The sequence below is a fragment of the Homo sapiens genome, chromosome 7 (genome assembly GCF_000001405.40).
Source record: "Homo sapiens chromosome 7, GRCh38.p14 Primary Assembly".
Taxonomy (NCBI): Eukaryota; Metazoa; Chordata; class Mammalia; order Primates; family Hominidae; genus Homo; species Homo sapiens.
This window is the reverse complement of record NC_000007.14, coordinates 150360895-150377078: the sequence shown is the minus strand read 5'-3', so window position 1 is coordinate 150377078 and position 16184 is coordinate 150360895. Positions and strand designations below refer to the sequence as shown.

At 52.2% G+C, this 16184-nt stretch overlaps 1 protein-coding gene and 1 long non-coding RNA gene across 51 annotated transcripts, besides 9 other annotated features; one reads left to right on the top strand and one right to left on the bottom strand.

The window, feature by feature from the left end:
• Window positions 1–3039: 3039 nt before the first annotated feature.
• REPIN1 (replication initiator 1) lies at window positions 3040–8983 on the bottom strand. 39 transcript variants are annotated; one of them, NM_001362746.2, is made up of 4 exons: window positions 8761–8983; window positions 7211–7408; window positions 6195–6319; window positions 3040–5851 (listed from the first exon to the last, which is right to left on the bottom strand). In NM_001362746.2, the coding sequence occupies exon 4, from the start codon at window positions 5835–5837 to the stop codon at window positions 4134–4136; it is 1704 nt and encodes a 567-aa protein (NP_001349675.1). In that variant the 5' UTR covers window positions 5838–5851; window positions 6195–6319; window positions 7211–7408; window positions 8761–8983; the 3' UTR covers window positions 3040–4133. The 39 variants fall into 39 exon arrangements, with proteins under 39 accessions (NP_001349675.1, NP_001374976.1, NP_001374983.1 ...); NM_001388047.1 differs by having other exon boundaries at window positions 3040–5848; NM_001388054.1 differs by lacking the exon at window positions 8761–8983 and adding an exon at window positions 8046–8257.
• Window positions 3412–3561: an enhancer, noted in NCBI's record as "active region_26825". NCBI's record gives its function as "activates an Ori minimal core promoter by ATAC-STARR-seq in GM12878 lymphoblastoid cells {active_cell/tissue: GM12878}" and the evidence as "EXISTENCE:reporter gene assay evidence [ECO:0000049][PMID:35858748]".
• Window positions 3622–3741: an enhancer, noted in NCBI's record as "active region_26824". NCBI's record gives its function as "activates an Ori minimal core promoter by ATAC-STARR-seq in GM12878 lymphoblastoid cells {active_cell/tissue: GM12878}" and the evidence as "EXISTENCE:reporter gene assay evidence [ECO:0000049][PMID:35858748]".
• REPIN1-AS1 (REPIN1 antisense RNA 1) lies at window positions 4136–14421 on the top strand. Of its 12 annotated transcripts, none has more exons than NR_183429.1 (4): window positions 4136–4238; window positions 5924–6001; window positions 6223–6374; window positions 12902–14421. It is a non-coding gene; the product is annotated as an REPIN1 antisense RNA 1 (long non-coding RNA). The 12 variants fall into 12 exon arrangements; NR_183428.1 differs by having other exon boundaries at window positions 6223–6382; window positions 13013–14421; NR_183434.1 differs by lacking the exon at window positions 4136–4238 and adding an exon at window positions 4498–4586 and having other exon boundaries at window positions 6188–6374.
• Window positions 6269–7073: an enhancer, noted in NCBI's record as "H3K27ac-H3K4me1 hESC enhancer chr7:150067095-150067899 (GRCh37/hg19 assembly coordinates)". NCBI's record gives its function as "activates a minimal SCP1, AML or CMV promoter by ChIP-STARR-seq in naive H9 embryonic stem cells {active_cell/tissue: H9 hESC(naive)}" and the evidence as "EXISTENCE:reporter gene assay evidence [ECO:0000049][PMID:30033119]".
• Window positions 7074–7879: an enhancer, noted in NCBI's record as "H3K27ac-H3K4me1 hESC enhancer chr7:150066289-150067094 (GRCh37/hg19 assembly coordinates)". NCBI's record gives its function as "activates a minimal SCP1, AML or CMV promoter by ChIP-STARR-seq in naive and primed H9 embryonic stem cells {active_cell/tissue: H9 hESC(naive and primed)}" and the evidence as "EXISTENCE:reporter gene assay evidence [ECO:0000049][PMID:30033119]".
• Window positions 7344–7493: a silencer, noted in NCBI's record as "silent region_18777". NCBI's record gives its function as "represses an Ori minimal core promoter by ATAC-STARR-seq in GM12878 lymphoblastoid cells {active_cell/tissue: GM12878}" and the evidence as "EXISTENCE:reporter gene assay evidence [ECO:0000049][PMID:35858748]".
• Window positions 7880–8684: an enhancer, noted in NCBI's record as "H3K27ac-H3K4me1 hESC enhancer chr7:150065484-150066288 (GRCh37/hg19 assembly coordinates)". NCBI's record gives its function as "activates a minimal SCP1, AML or CMV promoter by ChIP-STARR-seq in naive H9 embryonic stem cells {active_cell/tissue: H9 hESC(naive)}" and the evidence as "EXISTENCE:reporter gene assay evidence [ECO:0000049][PMID:30033119]".
• Window positions 8004–8473: a silencer, noted in NCBI's record as "silent region_18776". NCBI's record gives its function as "represses an Ori minimal core promoter by ATAC-STARR-seq in GM12878 lymphoblastoid cells {active_cell/tissue: GM12878}" and the evidence as "EXISTENCE:reporter gene assay evidence [ECO:0000049][PMID:35858748]".
• Window positions 8724–8783: an enhancer, noted in NCBI's record as "active region_26823". NCBI's record gives its function as "activates an Ori minimal core promoter by ATAC-STARR-seq in GM12878 lymphoblastoid cells {active_cell/tissue: GM12878}" and the evidence as "EXISTENCE:reporter gene assay evidence [ECO:0000049][PMID:35858748]".
• Window positions 12899–12948: a silencer, noted in NCBI's record as "silent region_18775". NCBI's record gives its function as "represses an Ori minimal core promoter by ATAC-STARR-seq in GM12878 lymphoblastoid cells {active_cell/tissue: GM12878}" and the evidence as "EXISTENCE:reporter gene assay evidence [ECO:0000049][PMID:35858748]".
• Window positions 14422–16184: the final 1763 nt, after the last annotated feature.

The following is a 16184-nucleotide window of genomic DNA, read 5'->3' as shown; positions in this document are numbered from 1 at the left end:
AGGGGAATGAAGGAGAACGTTCACATTATTATCTGAATTATTTATTTTTAAAGATAATTTAATGCTTTTGTAATTGTAGAAGAAAACAAAGAAAAACTGTGGATTCTTCAGAAGAGATGGGCAGCTCCTGCCAGCAGACCCCTACAACCCAGGCAGTCCTCCCCAGTGACTGCTGTGGTGATGAACCAGGCAGAGCAAGGGCTTGAGAACCACTGGGCCACCCACCAAGGGACTCAGGAAGGAACCAGGCACAATTTGACTCTGTTCCTGCTTTACCAGCCCCCTCAAGGCCACTTGTGTGACCTTTCCGTCCTTTGGACCTCTCTTTCCCATCCCCATAACAAGCAGTGGGCAGTGAAGCACTGACGACACCCACACCCCGCTTTCCCCATATCCCAGACTATTTCCTTTAAACGGGACTTTTCAAAAGGTTAGGACCCCTGGTCAGATCCCCTCTCACCCTCATCCTTGTCCCTAACGGCTCCAATACTAACCTAGGTGCCAACCCAAGGACCCGCCCCTGCTCCCTGCCCATCATTTCCAGACATCGACCTACTCTTTCCTGGCCATCTCCCCTTCCCTGGAAACCCTGTGTTCCCACAAAGAGAAAAAATGTGACTGGGGCTTTCTTGAGACCACGCCCTCTGCTCCCAGGCTTTGACAGATAATTTGCCATCAACTACACAGGTTTTTAAGTGGCTCCATAACCCCATAAACCAATATGAAGCTTTGAAGCTGTTCTTTCCATCCTACACACTTTAAGCCCCACCCACACAGTTGGCATTTAATACTTAACCAAAAACAGCAGCACGCAGCGTTCATCCACTAAGCACACAGCGGTTGTCAAGAGCACAGGTTTCAGGAGTCAGACAGACTTGAATTTGAATCTGCCTCTGGTGATTACCAGTTATATGACTGTGGGCAAATGTTTTCATGTATAAAAGAAGACTACCTCCCACACAAGGACACATGAGATAATTTAGGTAAACTTCACCAGGTGCCACTCACGTCAACAAATTGTGGTTATTCTTATGTGCTCTGTGCTAAATGCTGGAGATATATGCAGAAATTGCTAACACAGGCAAGAAAAGAACTATTAATGCCTGGTAAAAAGAGGTACTCAAATTTGTATGAAACCACCAATTCAGGGACGCATACAGAGTGACTGCTCACAGAAATCTGGAGTCCTACAGCAGGCCGGCCAGGGACACTGTAGGACAGAATCAAATCAGCCCCCTTTCCTGCCTAGCAACTAGCACCTGAAAAGTCTGACCTGACCTTGAGATGGAGCAGAGACCCTCTTTTTTAATTTTTTTTTATTTTTATTTTTTGAGACAGAGTTGTTGCCCAGGCTGGGGTGCCATGGCGCGATCTCGGCTCACTGCAACTTCTGCCTCCTGGGTTCAAGTGATTCTCCTGCCTCAGCCTGCCGAGTAGCTGGGATTACAGGCATGCACCACCATGCCCGGCTAATTTTGTATTTTTAGTAGAGACAGGGTTTCTCCATGTTGGTCAGGCTGGTCTCAAACTCCTAACCTCAGGTGATCCACCTGCCTCGGCCTCCCAAAGTGCTGGGATTACAGGCGTGAGCCACCACGCCCAGCCTCAGAGACTCCACTTAGGAGCCTGCTGGGTTCTGCCCATCACTTGAAAAGCATGAGAATAAACAAAAATGTGAGTCCCTCCCAGGGAAATTCCAGGCACCTAGCTAGCTCTACAACCATGAATTGGGGAAATGAATGAATAACCCGCTAAGCAAGAAAGTAATAATAGCTTAAACAATAGTCACTCAAGTAGTAGTCACAGAATGTTAGCTTCCTCATAGAAACTAAAGATAACATCTTTTTGTTTGTTTTGTTTTTTGGGTTGTTTGTTTGTTTTGAGACAAAGTCTTACTCTGTTGCCCAGGCTGGAATGCAGTGGCACGATCTCAGCTCATTGCAACCTCCGCCTCCCAGGTTCAAGCAATTCTCCTGCTTCAGCCTCCCTAGTAGCTGGGACTACAGGGGCCCGCCACCACACCCAGCTAATTTTGTATTTTTAGTAGAGATGGGGTTTCACCATGTTGGCCAGGCTGGTCTTGAACTCCTGACCTCAGGTGATCCACCCACCTCGGCCTCCCAAAGTGCCGGGATTACAGGCATGAGCCACCATGCCTGGCCTAAAGATAACATCTTGACATATATCCTTGAGTTGTTTTTCAGGAGCCAGGACCCCCACCAATGTCACCACGTGACAATGCCAGCACGTAGACCTCAGACAGACTGGAACCAGAAAATGGATAAGGAAGTTCCAGAAATTCCTCAGCCCCTAACTCCCTTTGAAACCTCCCCACCCCTGCCTTAAAAACCCTTGCTTAAAAGCCATCAGGGAGTTTGAGCCTTAGCTGCCCATTCTCCTCGCCTGGTGCTCTGCAATAAACGCCTTACTTTCTCTGGCTGCAAATCTCACTGTCGGTGTTAGGCTTTGCAAACACTGGGCAAGTGGACCCAGGCTGGGTTTGACAACAACCTCAAAGAAGGCTGAAACCCTGGTGTGTGGAGTGTGGAAGCTGAGTGCTGTCTTAGCTGCAGGGAACAGCCTCCCCTCCCAGAGGCTCCTTCATCTGTCCAACCTCTGAAGGACTACTGGAGGCACAGTCCAAGTATAACCAAAGTCCGTTTAACACCCAGCACCCCTCAAAAGAGCTCATAGTGCTTGCTGTAGTTTCATAAAGGCCCAGGTGGTGAGAAAGATTAGGTGTTGCTGGGCCCATCTAGGAGGGCAAGTGACCAAGAACATAAATCTTGGGACCAAGCTGAGAGCATTCCACCCACCACAGTTCTCTGGAGCTTCGGCCCACCACCCAGAGAATTAGCCCAACTGCCTGGGTATGCTCAGGGAAGAACTGAGGCAGGGGGCCAGAGCTCAGCAAGCTGGGCATGTGGCCTGTGGCCAGAGCCCCACCCACAGCCCCCCGTCCTTCTAGGGAGGAGAGCATGCTGCTCCTCCTGACATGTCGCAGCTCCCCCAGAAAAAGTAACACTCCCCAGCCACCAGTTCTAAAACCAAATCTTTATTCTCTAGTTTGAAAAGGAGGGGTAAATGGTTGTTCTGTTTAGTTCCAGAGAACAGAACAAGGCCCAATAGGTAGAAATTATAGGAAAGCAGAATTCATTCATTATAAGGAAGGATTTCTAACAATTAGAATTTCTAACAATTAGAATCATCCAGGGCCTCAGGAGGTGCGGAAGTTCCTGTCACCTAAGTGCTCAAGCAGAGGCCAGGTGTCCATATGCTAGAAATGGAGAAAAGGAAACTCACCAGCAACTTCCCCTCAGCTGGCCCTCCATCACCAATGCGGCAGTCCTTGCCGTGACATGCTGAGCTCTGGAAGGAGCGAAGGAGGGGCTGCGGTGTTCAGACAAGAGCCTGGACACAGTGCTGCTGACAGCCAGGGGAGGCTCTCAGCGCTGGGAGGGGCGACAGATAAAGCGAGACAGACCAAGGAGTAAATGCCTTGGGATCTGCTCTTTGGGAAGGAAGAGGATGGAAGTATTAACAGCAGACGGGTCTCTCCAAGTCTGGGTGCCTACGCAGGGGGCAGGTGGGAGGGGAAGGGAGAGGTAAGAGTGGCTTCGCTTCACCTCTTGCTGCTGGCAAAGGCCCAAGTGCTGTCTAACAAGGCCAGCAGGTTCTCCAAGCTGTATCTAGCCCAGAGCATTCATTTACAGGACTCTACCACGCCTGCTTCCAAAAATGATCTTAAGTAACTTACAGTAAAAGACAGGGGCATTAAGGCGTTAATACCAGAGGATGGAGGGTCTTCCTTTCCACTGGTGGCTCCTCTAGCCAGAGGGCTCTAAGGGGCGGATGCTATTGCTGCTTTTCCAGGGCACAGGGCAGTCAGGACGGAGCCTTAGCACACACCAGCTGGAGGCCGGCGTCCCTGCGCTTGGAAGTGGGTTCCCTGGCCACCGGGGTTGACCTCTCTCGCTAGCAGGGCCCACCCAGCTCACTCCCCGCGTCTTCCATCCCCTCTAGGATTCCCATTGTCCCCTACTCCAGCACTAGGCAGGCACCCCCAGCCCACTGCGACTCCCACCACGAAGGACCCCAGCCCTCTCTCAGCCAACACGGCCCCGCCCACCGTCTCAGACATCGTGCTTCTTCTGGTGGGCCAGGAGTCTCTCCTCGTCGTCGAAGGTCTGGCCACAGATGGCACAGCAGAAGGCGCCGTCCCGGATGTGGCTCTTGCGGTGGGTGATGAGGTTGGACTTCTGGCTGAAGCTGCGGTCGCAGTCGGGACAGGCGTAGGGCCGCTCGCCCGTGTGGATGCGCCGGTGCGACACCAGGTTGGACTTCTGGCTGAAGGCTTTGCCGCAGTCGGGGCAGACGTAGGGCTTCTCGCCGGTGTGGATGCGCCGGTGCGCCGCCAGGTAGGGTTTGTGGCGGAAGGCCTTGCCGCAGTCGGGACACACGAAGGGCCGATCGGGGGCGTGGTCGCGCCGATGCGCCGCCAGATGGCTGCCCTGGGAGAAGCGGCGGCCGCACTCCTCGCAGGCGAAGGGCCGCTCGCCGGAGTGCACGCGCGAGTGCGCCACCAGGTGCGTCTTCTTGCCGAAGTTCTTCCCGCACTCGGCGCAGGTGAAGGGCCGCTCCCCGGTGTGCTGCCGCTGGTGGGCCCGCAGGAAGCGCTCCAGCCGGAAGCTCCTGCCGCAGTCGTCGCAGCTGTAGAGGGAGGGGGGGGCTTCGATCGGGTCCTGCGGGTGCTCTGGCGGGGCCCCTGGCGGCGGCTCCTGGGCCGGTTTCAGAGGTACCGCCGGGGTGGGCTCGGCCGCGGACTCCTGGGGGCCGGCTGGCAGCTGGGGGCTCCCCGGGCCGGGGGCGGCCTGGGCCGACCCCTCGGATCGCTTGTGAATCTTGCTGTGAGACAGCAGGTTGGGTTTGTGCCGGAAGCGGCGGCCGCACTCTTTGCACGGGTAGGGCTTCTCGCCGGTGTGGATGCGCCGGTGCGAAGTCAGATAGGGCTTATTGGTAAAGCGCTTCCCGCACTCGGGGCACTGGTGGGGCCGCTCGCCCGTGTGCACGCGGCGGTGAGCGATCAAGTTGGGCTTGTGCCGGAAGCGCTTGCCACAACAGGCACACTGGAAGGGGCGGTCGACGGCATCTCCACCGGGCCGGGGGGCGGTCACCGCGGGGCGGCCCCTGGGCCGGGGCCCCAGAGCCTTGGCTGCGGCCTCCTCCAGGGCCTCAGCTACGTGCACCCGCTTGTGGGCAACTAGCTGGTCCCACTGGGCAAAGCTCCGGCCACAGTTGCCGCATATGAAGGGCCGGGCCTCCGGGGCGGGAGGGTGGCACCGCCGCAGATGAGCTCGAAGCTGCTTTCGTCGCCAGAAGCGTCTCTCGCATTTGGGACAAGCGATGGGCCGCTTTGCAGCTGAATGGGCCCGCAGATGCAGAACCAGGGCCACCCAGCCTCGGAAGCTCTGCCCACAGAGGTGGCAGGCAAAGCCCAGGTCTGGGGTGGCAGCAGCATGGACCTGGCGGTGCAGTGCTAAGAAGGGGGCATGGCGAAAGCGACGGCCACACTCAGGGCAGGGCAAGGGCAGCCGGGCCTGGCACCGGCGGGTGTGAAGCCACAGAGCCACCCAGCCAGGGAAGTGCCTTCGACAGTGGGCACAGCGATGGGCCCTGCCTGGGGCTTGGGCACCAGACTGGGCCACTGACGTGCCTTGTTGCCTCAGCCCGCGGGACTCCTTCCCCAGGGTCTGGGGTGACTCCTGGGAGGGCCCAGAAAGGAGTCGGGGCTGGGCCAGGCCCATGGCCAGGGGGCCCCTGCAACGACGTTCCAGCATCGGTTCTTCCTCTGCTGAGGGTGGAAAAGCACAGTCACTCCAGAGACCAACTCACTCTGCCCCTGTTTCTCCCCTCCCAACCTCAGCCCCGGACAGGAGCTGCCATCTATGAACCCCTAGAGCCCCGGACATGGAGCTAGACTACTCTCCTGTTTCCTTGTGTGGTATGTATTATTTCAATCTTGGGTTTTTAGATAACATTTCAAGGATGTTTGTCTTATGTCTTTGTTGCCCTGGAAACTTCCAGAAGGGAGGGACTCTGATACTAGAATCCCCCTCATGGCAGCTACCCCAGTGTCAGACAGGGAGTAAATGCTCCAGTGCTGAATGCACAAACATTCCTGCCACAGGACTCACCAGAAAATGTGGCCACTGCTCCCTACAGTGCCTTATGCTGCCCTCTCCCTGTGTCTGCTGTTTCCTATGCCACATCCGAGCTGCACAGCAACTCTGAGAAGCTGGACAAACAGACACTGAGCTCCCTGTTTAACAGATGAAGCAACTGTGAGACATCAAAGATGACGAGACCTGCCCAAGGTGACACAGTAAGCCAACAGCAGAATCAAGACTAGGGAACAGGTCTTTAAACTCCCAGGCCAGTGTTCTTTCCTCTAAAGCGCCTGGGTTTGCAAAGATCTCAGAGAAAAAGGTGTCTATAGCTTTTCATTCCTAGCCCCACAGGGGAGGCACTTTCAGCATCACTAACTGCAGTCTCCGTAGGAGGCTGGAGGACAAGTGAGAACAGCCCTTCTCGGGGAACAGGAGCAGAGCCCTGGGTGCTACTCCCGGCAGTCTAACGCCAGACCACCGCCTGCCCAGACTGTGCCCCCATTCTGCCCGCCTGCCCTCTTCCACCCACACAAATTAGGACATTGCAGGAAGGAAGGCTCTCCCTGAATCCAAGGAACACCCACAGCCTGCTGCCCTCGGGGCCTGATCACCGGCTCTGCCTCCCTCGGGGTGCTGGAGATTACTGGGGCAATAGAAGGGGAGGGAAGATGAGACTGCAATCTCAGTCCCCTGCCCGGTCCTGCCCCAACCTCGCCAGGGGCTGCCCCATGTTCAGCTCTTCCACAGCTCAGGGGAGCCCAGATTCCTGCACAGGAGCCTCCTCCGCGGAAGGAGGAAGGAAGCAGTTAGGCTCCTAAGGGCCCTTCTGTGCCTGCTCACAAGCTCCAGACACATCCTTCTAAATTCCCTAGAGCGCACTCTCTCTTCTCAGGGAACACAAAGGTCACTCATTCCCAGTGTCAGACTGTGCACAGGGAAGACCCCAGGATATGAGAAAGGGCCATTTCCTTCCGCCGGGATGGGGACGCCCGTGCACCCCTGTTGTGGCGTGGTTTGGGAGCACAGCAAAGGCCAGACTCTACCCTGGAGACTGCAGAGCTGGGGATGAGGCTTTTTCCAGCTCCTCTTGGGGATGTTCCTGGGGATACTTCCGCGGCTGCAGCGCCTGCTTCGGCCCACACTCCGGTAGCCCCCAGGTGTTAGAGAAAACTGCAGTAATAAAGACACCCCTATCCCCATGGCAGAGCTCAGACCTCTGACTGCAGAGAGGCCAGCCTTACCTGTGGGGAGGGAAGAGAAAACAGAAGTGAGGCTCTGAGCTCCTCTAGGGCAGTCAGCTTTGTGTCCTCACCAGCCACAACCCCTCCCCCCACAAAGCCACACGCACCAGCCATAAGCCCCACATCCTGCCTGGCAGAGTGACCTTAATGGACATTGGATTAATAAATGAATGTGCCCCTTCAACAAGGAAGCACACTGCTGTCTTTCGGGGTCACTTTCTTCCCTGGTAAGGTCACGGAACGAATTCTCCATTCTGTGGCCAGAGTCTGGGCTTTCCCTGATGGCCAAAGGCCGGCCTATGGCAGGAACTCTGGAATCCCTGCTGGCTCCCCTTCCCCCAGCCTCCTCCCGACAGGAATTCCAGGCCTATTTCCCATGGGGCTGCGCAGGGCCAGCTGGTGTGACCACGACTCCGTCAGAATCCCCTTCCGCATCGCGGCTGGCCGCGGGTGGCAGAAGCCCCACACCGCCCTTTTGTACTGATGCGTGTCCTCCGTCCACGCTCCCGGGCACACGGGTCCCGTTCTTGCGAGTGAGCCATTTCGGGTCCCACGCACGGCGCAGCTCGCGGAGCCTGTGCGCAGGTGCGCTCCCCCACCCCCGCAGATCCAGCAGCGTCCCCCCCCGCGCACTCACACACGGTCGCGCACACTCACGGTCACGCGCCCCGCAGGTGGAGCGGCCCCCCGCGGGCCCGCGGTGGCCCCGCGCCCCTGCCCCGGCCGTACCTCTGCGGCGGGCTGTGCAGGGACGCGGCGCCCGTCCATGGAGCCCGAAGGCCGGCCTCCGCGGCCCACTCTCGCTCCCCGCCCCGCCGCGGCGACAGCGGCAGGTTCGAGTTCACAACTGCCAGGCCCGTCCCCAACCTCCCCCCGCCGGGTTCCCAGCGCCACGTGACTACAGGAGCTGCCGAGGGTCAGTCGCCGGCTCCCGCGGCCGCGGCCTGGGGGCGGGGAGGGACTGCCGGGGCCGGGGCGCGGGCGCCCCCGCCAAGAGCGGGCCGGGTCACTCAAGCCACTGCCGCGCCAGGGCGGCAGGCCTCGGAGGGTCGGACTCCGTTGCCATGGCGACCACCAGCCCGGGTTTCTCTGGGACTGGCCGGAGCTCAAGTTTCCCGACCCTTTGTCCCTGCGGAGCACGCGCGTCCCCGGGCGACCGCGTGGCTGGCCTATGGTCACCGGGGTGTTCGGCCTTAGCTGCCTTATGAGAGGCTGGGAGCCCGTCGGGAGACTTCAAAGAGGGCTCCGGCAAGCCCCCGGAGCGTCGTTGCCCGGGCCTTTCTCAGGCCGCGCACCCCGGCCGCAGTGCGGACGCTTGCGGCCGCGGCGGTCCCGGGACGGCGGTGGCGCACCTGGAAGGCCCTAGCTTCCGATTTGTTCCAAAGTGGAGCACAAAAAGGCCCGATCCTGCGAACTTTGAAAAGGCCTCTCTTCACTCTTTTCTAGAAATTAAGAAAGAGCAGAAGTTGCTGGGCTTCCTCTGGCTGCGGGCCAAGCGTGGGGCGACGGCCGAGGTGGCCGTTGGCGCACGTGGGGCATTTCGCTTGGAAAGGCTCAGCAGCCTGTGTGGCGTCTGCGGTGGCAGGTGCGAGCCTGTGCCCATGACTCACCCACTAGCAGGTGGCCCTGGCTTTCCAAACTAAACACTTCCTGGGGTTTCCAGGGTAGTACAATTTCATGTACTTTCATGCTTTTCAACACAGGCAATTTTTGAATTGTATAATTAGTCGTAAAAATACTTTTTAAATCTATTGCATAAATAGGAAATAGGGGAACATAAAACTCAGTTTTACCTCGTAGAGTCAATTACATTTAATATTTTGGTATGTTGCCTCCGGTGTTTTCTCTACGTATATCCATGGCATGTCTGGCATAATTGGAATAATGCCTTGCGAAGATGTATTCTGCCTTCTTCACTTAACACGATCTTGTGAATTTTCTTCCATTTTATTAGATATTCTTTTAAACATGATTATTTATGGCTGTATAAAAGGAATATATTTTTTAAATGTTTTCTAAATTATCTTCCAGGAAAACGTATTAGTTTTCCCTGAGAAATGCCCATTTTCCATATACTTGACAACACAGACTTTTTTAAAAAAAAAATTTAGTTTGAAATGGTTATTTCTCATCTTTTGTACTTGCATTTCTTAGAGTACTAGTTAGCTGGATTGTTTTTTCACATGGTTATTTTTTGCCAGTTTTATTTTCTCTTGTGAATTTGTTTATGTCCATTTGCCCACTTTTCTATTTGCCCATTTTAAAAGTTGGGGAGTTGGTTTATTGTTTGGGGGGCACTCATAAAGTACAGGTATTAAAGACTTGTCATGTTTGTTGCAGACGTGTTTCCTCGTACTTGTTAACTTTTTTTTTTTTTTTTTTTGAGACAGGGTTTCACTCTGTCACCAGAGCTGGAGTGCAGTAGCACTATCATGGCTCACTGAAGCCAGGACTTCCTGAGCTCAAGCAATCCTCCCACCTCGGCCTCTGAGTAGCTGGGACTACAGGATCACATCACCACATCCAGCTAATTATTTTATTTTAATGTTTTTCTTCTGTAGAGATGGGGTCTCACTGTGTTGCCCAGGCTGGTCTCAAACGATCCTCCCGCCCCAGCCTCCCAAAGTGTTGGGATTACAGATGTGAACCACTGCATCCGGCCTACCTTTTCAGTTGTTGATGTGAGAAAGTTTTGCTTTAGTCTATGTGCTGCTGAAGCGAGCATAAGAAAGTTTTGTTTTATTTTTATTTTATTATTTATTTATTTATTTATTTATTTATTTATTTATTTATTTTGAGATGGAGTCTGGCTTGTCTCCCAGGCTGGAGTGTAGAGGGAGGTGTGATCTCGGTTCACTGCAAGCTCCGTCTCATAGGTTCTCGCCATTCTCCTGCCTCAGCCTCCCGAGCAGCTGGGACTACAAGTGCCCGCCACCACGCCCAGCTATTTTTTTGTATTTTTAGTAGAGACGGGGTTTCACTGTGTTAGCCAGGATGGTCTCGATCCCCTGACCTCGTGATCTGCCCGCCTTGGCCTCCCAAAGTGCTGGGATTACAGGCATGAGCCACCGTGCCCGGCGAGAAAGTTTTGTTTTAATGTGCCAAAACTTAGCAGTCTTCCTTTATGGTTTCTGCCTTTAGAGTTATGTTTAGAGAGGCTACCCGCAACCTAAAACTACATTGAATGTCTGCAGTTTTATCACAGAAAATAAGTTTTGGTAGCTGGTAGTTTAAGTACTTCCCCTACACAAAGATTCTGGGTTTTTTTATTCTTCATAACTTCTTGGCTAGAATCACTTCATTTATTCTTCCAAACTGACATGGAGCCGGCACCCCTCTTACAGGCCTGCAGGAAGTGGGGAGGGGGCAAGCATGGAAATAAAGGAAAATCTTGAATTCCTTCAAGGGAAATTCCAGGCACCCAGCTAGCAACCTAATAAACAAGAAGGTAACTGTAGCTTAAAACAAGGAAGTTACAGTCACAAAATGTTTGGTTCCCTATAGAAACTAAAGATAACATCTTAATATATGTCCCTGAGTTGCTCTTCAGAAACCTGGGCCCCCCTCCCAAGTGGATGCCCTGGCCTGCAGACCTCAGACAAGAGGGAACTGAGGACTAAGCTCTGCTGTTCTTTGTTCTAAATTTCTTCCTGAGGATCCTGATGGAAGTTGGACCAGACCTGAACATTCCTTTCTGCTAACCCCAAGGTTTTAGGCAAAGCTTTGCTTCCTTAACTTATCACAAATCAGAGTCTTTGAATTCATGTATGACCTTTAAGGCTCCTCCTTCAAAATACCCTGCCCTTTGAGGCTAAACCAGTGCATAACCTCCATGTATCAATTCACGATTTTGCCCATAACTTCTCCTTTCCTGAAATTTACCCCTGCTTTTAAAAACACTTGCTTGTGGCCGGGCCCAGTGGCTCATGCTTGTAATCCCAGCACTTTGGGAGGCCGAGGTGGGCGGATCACAAAGTCAGGAGTTCAAGACCAGCCTGGCCAACACAGTGAAACCTCGTCTCTACTAAAAATACAAAAATTAGCTGGACGTGGTGGCAGGAGCCTGTAATCCCAGCTACTCGGGAGGCTGAGGCAGGAGAATCACTTGAACCCAGGAGGCGGAGGTTGCAGTGAGCCAAGATCATGCCACTGTACTCAAGTCTGGGCGGCAGAGCTAGACTCCGACTGGGGGAAAAAAAAAACCTTGCTTGTAAACCATCGAAGAGGTTGTATCTTAAGTATGACCCACTTCTCCTCGCTTGGTGCCCTGCAAATAAATGTGCTCCTTTCTCCGGATGCACAACCTCAGTGTTGGTGTTTCCTCTTACTGCGCCGGGCAAGTAGACCCCAGTTCAGTTTTGTAACAAAATGAACTTTAGAATTTCTTGTCAATGTTTTAAAAACGTGATTGTCTTTAAGATTCATTCTCTCCACTCCATTCATTCAGGTCTTATTTTACCTGTCCCAGTCAAGTTGACTAATCTGTACATTAACTACTTAACTTTTATACTTTTTTTTTTTTTTTGAGACAGTGTCTAGCTCTGTCACCCAGGTTGGAGTGCAATGGTGCAATATCAGCTCAGTGCAACCTCCGCCTCCCAGGTTCAAGTGATTCTCCTGCCTCAGCCTCCCTAGTAGCTGGGATTACAGGCACGCACCACTACACCTGGCTAATTTTTGTATTTTTAGTAGAGATGGGGTTTTGCCATGTTAGCCAGGCTAGTCTTGAACTCCTGAACTCCTGACCTCAGGTGATCGGCCCACCTTGGCCTCCCAAAGTGCTGGGATTACAGGTGTGAGCTACCGCACCCAGCCCAACTTTTATACTTTATAAAATAAAATTCACAAATATGAAAAAAGTCTTTGTCATATCATATAGTTTGGGGGTTCTGAAAATATGGTTATAGCATATTGTGGAATATAGGCCAAGTTTAGTAGTTACGGAAGAATGAATTTTTCTACCAACAGTACAATAAGAAGATGCTCCAGTTTTTACCTAAATACTTAGTAATTTATTAGTTAACATTTTGGGAGGCTTTACTTTGTGTCAGGCATGGTGATAAACTCCTCACATACATATCTCATTTAATCCACTCAACAACCCTATGCAATACTCTTCTGGTCCTTATTTTACAAATGTAACAACCGAGACTCTGAAATGTTCAGGAACTTACTCAAGGCCACTCAGCGGGATAGTGGCTGATTTGAACCCAAGCAGTGCCCCTGTGTCCTCAATGTTAACCACTAAAGTTGCATGTGTGCTGGCCTGGGCACAGGGTAAGCGTGGGATCCCCCAGGGTTAACGAGTGAGTTTGGACATCTAATGCTTCTCCATTCCTAAAATTCCACTTGATCCCTACGTTCCTGCAAGAGCCTGCGAAGCAGAATTCCTTCATAGACTCACAAAGTATCTTCTCCTTGTCTGTAATCCGTCTTTCATAGCAGAAAGGTTCTTCATTAAACAAGGCCCTAACCTTCTTTCTCTCTCCCCAGCCTCCATTAGAGGAAATGTCTCTTCTCCCAGTCAGGAGTTAACCACCTGCTGTAACTTCCTCTTTAGCATCGCCAGAGGAAACTAAGTATGACTGTGCCTTCACTCTGCAGAAAGAAAATGAGTGGCAAAGGAGTTGCGAAGGGATTCCTGAGCCTTTATGCCAGCTGGAAGCTTAAGGCCTTGGTATTTGAGACTTCACCCTTCAAAATGTCTTGGAGGATGGCCCAGCAACCAGCCAAATGGCCCAATGGCCTAGCCCAGTGGAGACGGTCTCAGCTTTTGACAAGCTAGCCGGAGAAAGGGCTGGACAGGAAGGGGCCCACTGGACAGCGAATATTGATAGGGCCCCTGGGAGGATCAATTTTCCCCTCCAACAGTGCCTGGCTCCCATTATCAGATTAGATGCAAAGTGGGCTGGCATGCCAGGGGGTGACAGGAACAGTGTCTCCAGAAATCCTCTGTGAAGACACCCAAGTATTGTTCAGAAGTGGCCCTGTATCTGGAAGAGGGAAAACTGCACCCACTTCTTGCAGACATACAGTTCCAGCTCCCCCCACAGGACTTGCTCATACATCCAACAAATATTTAATCAGTGCCCACCATCTGCCACTGTGCCAGGTGCCCGGCCTCATCATGAGTCAGGCAGAGGTGGTCTGTGCAGTTTTCCCACAATGTGAGAGGGTGCTGAGAAGACTTTTAACGCTTATTTAACTACGGAAATAACTCTTGGTTTGGTACCTACTACAAAATAAAAACAAGCGCTTGTTGATAATTTCTGGATGGATGACTGTGGAAAGCTGGAGGAGACTGAGGATCAATTTGCTCTAATGAACCTTCCCTTGACTATCATCTCCGTTACCTCCTGCCGCATCCCTACGGCAAATATGCAAGACTCTCACGCAGCTAATTTCCAGGGGTTTGCAGTCTGGGGAGGAAGCAGAAAGCACATCCCTCACTGACCCTGAGGAGGGGCAAATCTCTGGTAGCAGTCACAGGTACGTGCTGTACACACTTCCCATCCTTTGAGCCTTCCCAGCTGGAGAGCACCAAGAGAACGCAGTTGGGGAGGCCCCGAAAGATGAAGGGTTGTTGAGCTTGAAGGCAGTGAAAAAGTAAATGGAAGAAAGCTCTCTGCCCTCCACTGCCTAAATGCAGGATATAGATTTAGAAGGATAAAAGGGGTCTGCTCCCTCTCTCGACCAGGGAAAAGTTAACCACTGAAGACAACTTTAGACTCTTATGGGCCTGGAGCTGGAACCAGAGGAATGGACATGAAGGCGCTTTACTAACTCTATTTATCTGCCAGTTACTTACCTTTCTACAAGTTCTCCCCTTAGACACTCAAAGTTCTTTTCCTTTGTCCTGTCGCTTCCCTAAAACTTGGCTTTTCTTTGTTGAAGATGCTATACAAGCTGGAATTCAAAGCTACCACTTTGAGAACTACTCAATTCCTGCGTGTCTCCCAGGCAGATGTGAAATACACATGTTAATAAACTTCCACTGGTTTTTCTCTTGTTAATCTGTCTTTTGTAACAGGAGTCCGTTCCAACCACAAATCTAGGGGGGCTGAGGAAAAACCCCTACAGTGGCACACACTGAAGAAGGCCCCCTCACTTTCCAAGGTTTCCCATCTCAGGTGGAAGGAGGCCTGCTAAGTCATGTGAAAATTATTCAGGAAAAGATCAAAGTGCTTCTACTTCTGCAGTTCTAAAAATATCTTTAAGTGCATGAAAACATGTATAATGCACGACAGGGACGCACGCTGTAAGAGTAGCCCTGGGCTGAGATCAAATGTCAGTCCCCAAATTCCACCACACAAGATGCTTTCCTGCCGCATATCTAGTTCCCAGAGTCTCTTGCTAAAAGAAAAAAGAATCCAGCTGGTAAAATGAGTATCAGGTAGATGGCTCAGATTTCCTGCAGAGGAAACTGGTACATGCGTGTGCCCCATAACGGTGAGGCCTGCTTCCCACCCTTATCCCCCACCCCTGCACCATAGTCTCCCTCACCAGGACTCTGCAGCAGTGGCCAGCCACTCCTCCTGCCTCCGCTCTGGCCCCATAAAGTCCTGTCTCCACTTAACCAGCTTGGCCCTTTAAACATGAATCAGATCAAGCAGCTCCCTTGCTAGGGAACTCCGACGCCTCCTGCTAACATTTGGACTGACATCCAACCCGCGGCCATGGCCTGCAGGGTTCCTGCAGACCTCCATGCGCCTGCCAGACACTGCCCCAGCAGCCGCCACTCATTTCCACCTTAGGGCCTTTGGAGTTGCCTAGACGATCCTCCTCCAGGTCCGCATGGACTTCCGTTCTTCACTGTATTCAGATTTTGGCTGAAGTCTCCTCGCCTCAAAACACGCTTCCCAACAAACCCCTCTAAAATAGCTTCACACCTAGATGAGATTCCTAGGACTGCTCTAACAAATGACCACCAGCTCGGCCTGAAATAACTGGCATTTATTATCTTACACGGCTGGAAGTCAGAAGCCCAGAATGTTTCACTGGGCCAAAGTCAAGGTGTCGGCAGGGCCCCACTCCCTCCAAAGTCTCTAGGGGAGAATCCTTCCTTGCCTTTTCTGGCTGGAAGAGCTGCTTCCCAGGCATTCTTGGGCTCGAGGCCCCTCCCTCTGTCTCCCAAGCCCTCAGCGCAGCATCTTGCTACACTTGTCACTTTGCCGGCCTGTGCTGCAGCTGAATCTCCCCCTGTACCCCCGCCAACACAAAGACACATGTAATTACCCAGATAGCCAGGAGAATTGTAAAAGCAAATACAAATCAAAAAGAATAAAAATAAGTTTTCTTTCTCCCTGGTGAAAAAAGGCAGAGATGCTCCTCACCAACACCCCCTTTTCTCAGCACATTTGCATTAGAAAGCTTGTGATTGTGAATTTTCCTCTGCCCATGTGAGATATATGCAAATCTTTTATTTTATTTTATTTTATTTTATATTTTTATTATTTTTTAGAGGCAGAGTCTTACTCTGTCACCCATACGGGAGTACAGTGATGCTCACTGCAGCCTCAAACTCCTGGGTTCAAGTGGTTCTTCTGCTTCAGCCTCCCGAGTGGCTGGGACTACAAGCATGCACCACCACACCTGCCTAATTTTTTAAAAAATTTTTGTAGACACAAGGTCTCGTTATGTTGCCTAGGATGGTCTCAAACTCCTGGCTTCAAGTGATCCTCCTGCCTTGACCTCCCAAAGTGCTGGGATTATAGGCGTGAGCCACCACACTGGGCAGAGATTACATAAATATTTTTAAAAGCGAAGAAAAAACCAT

What these genes read in the sequence shown, in the direction of transcription:
- REPIN1 (NM_001388037.1), bottom strand. Translation starts at nt 8,176, where the DNA reads ATGGACGGGCGCCGCGTCCCTGCACAGCCCGCCGCAGAG. An exon ending in CTGCACAGCCCGCCGCAGAG is followed by an intron (nt 7,338 to 8,137) that starts GTACGGCCGGGG and finishes TTATTACTGCAG; the next exon opens with TTTTCTCTAACACCTGGGGG. An exon ending in CCAGCTCTGCAGTCTCCAGG is followed by an intron (nt 5,849 to 7,210) that starts GTAGAGTCTGGC and finishes CACCCTCAGCAG; the next exon opens with AGGAAGAACCGATGCTGGAA.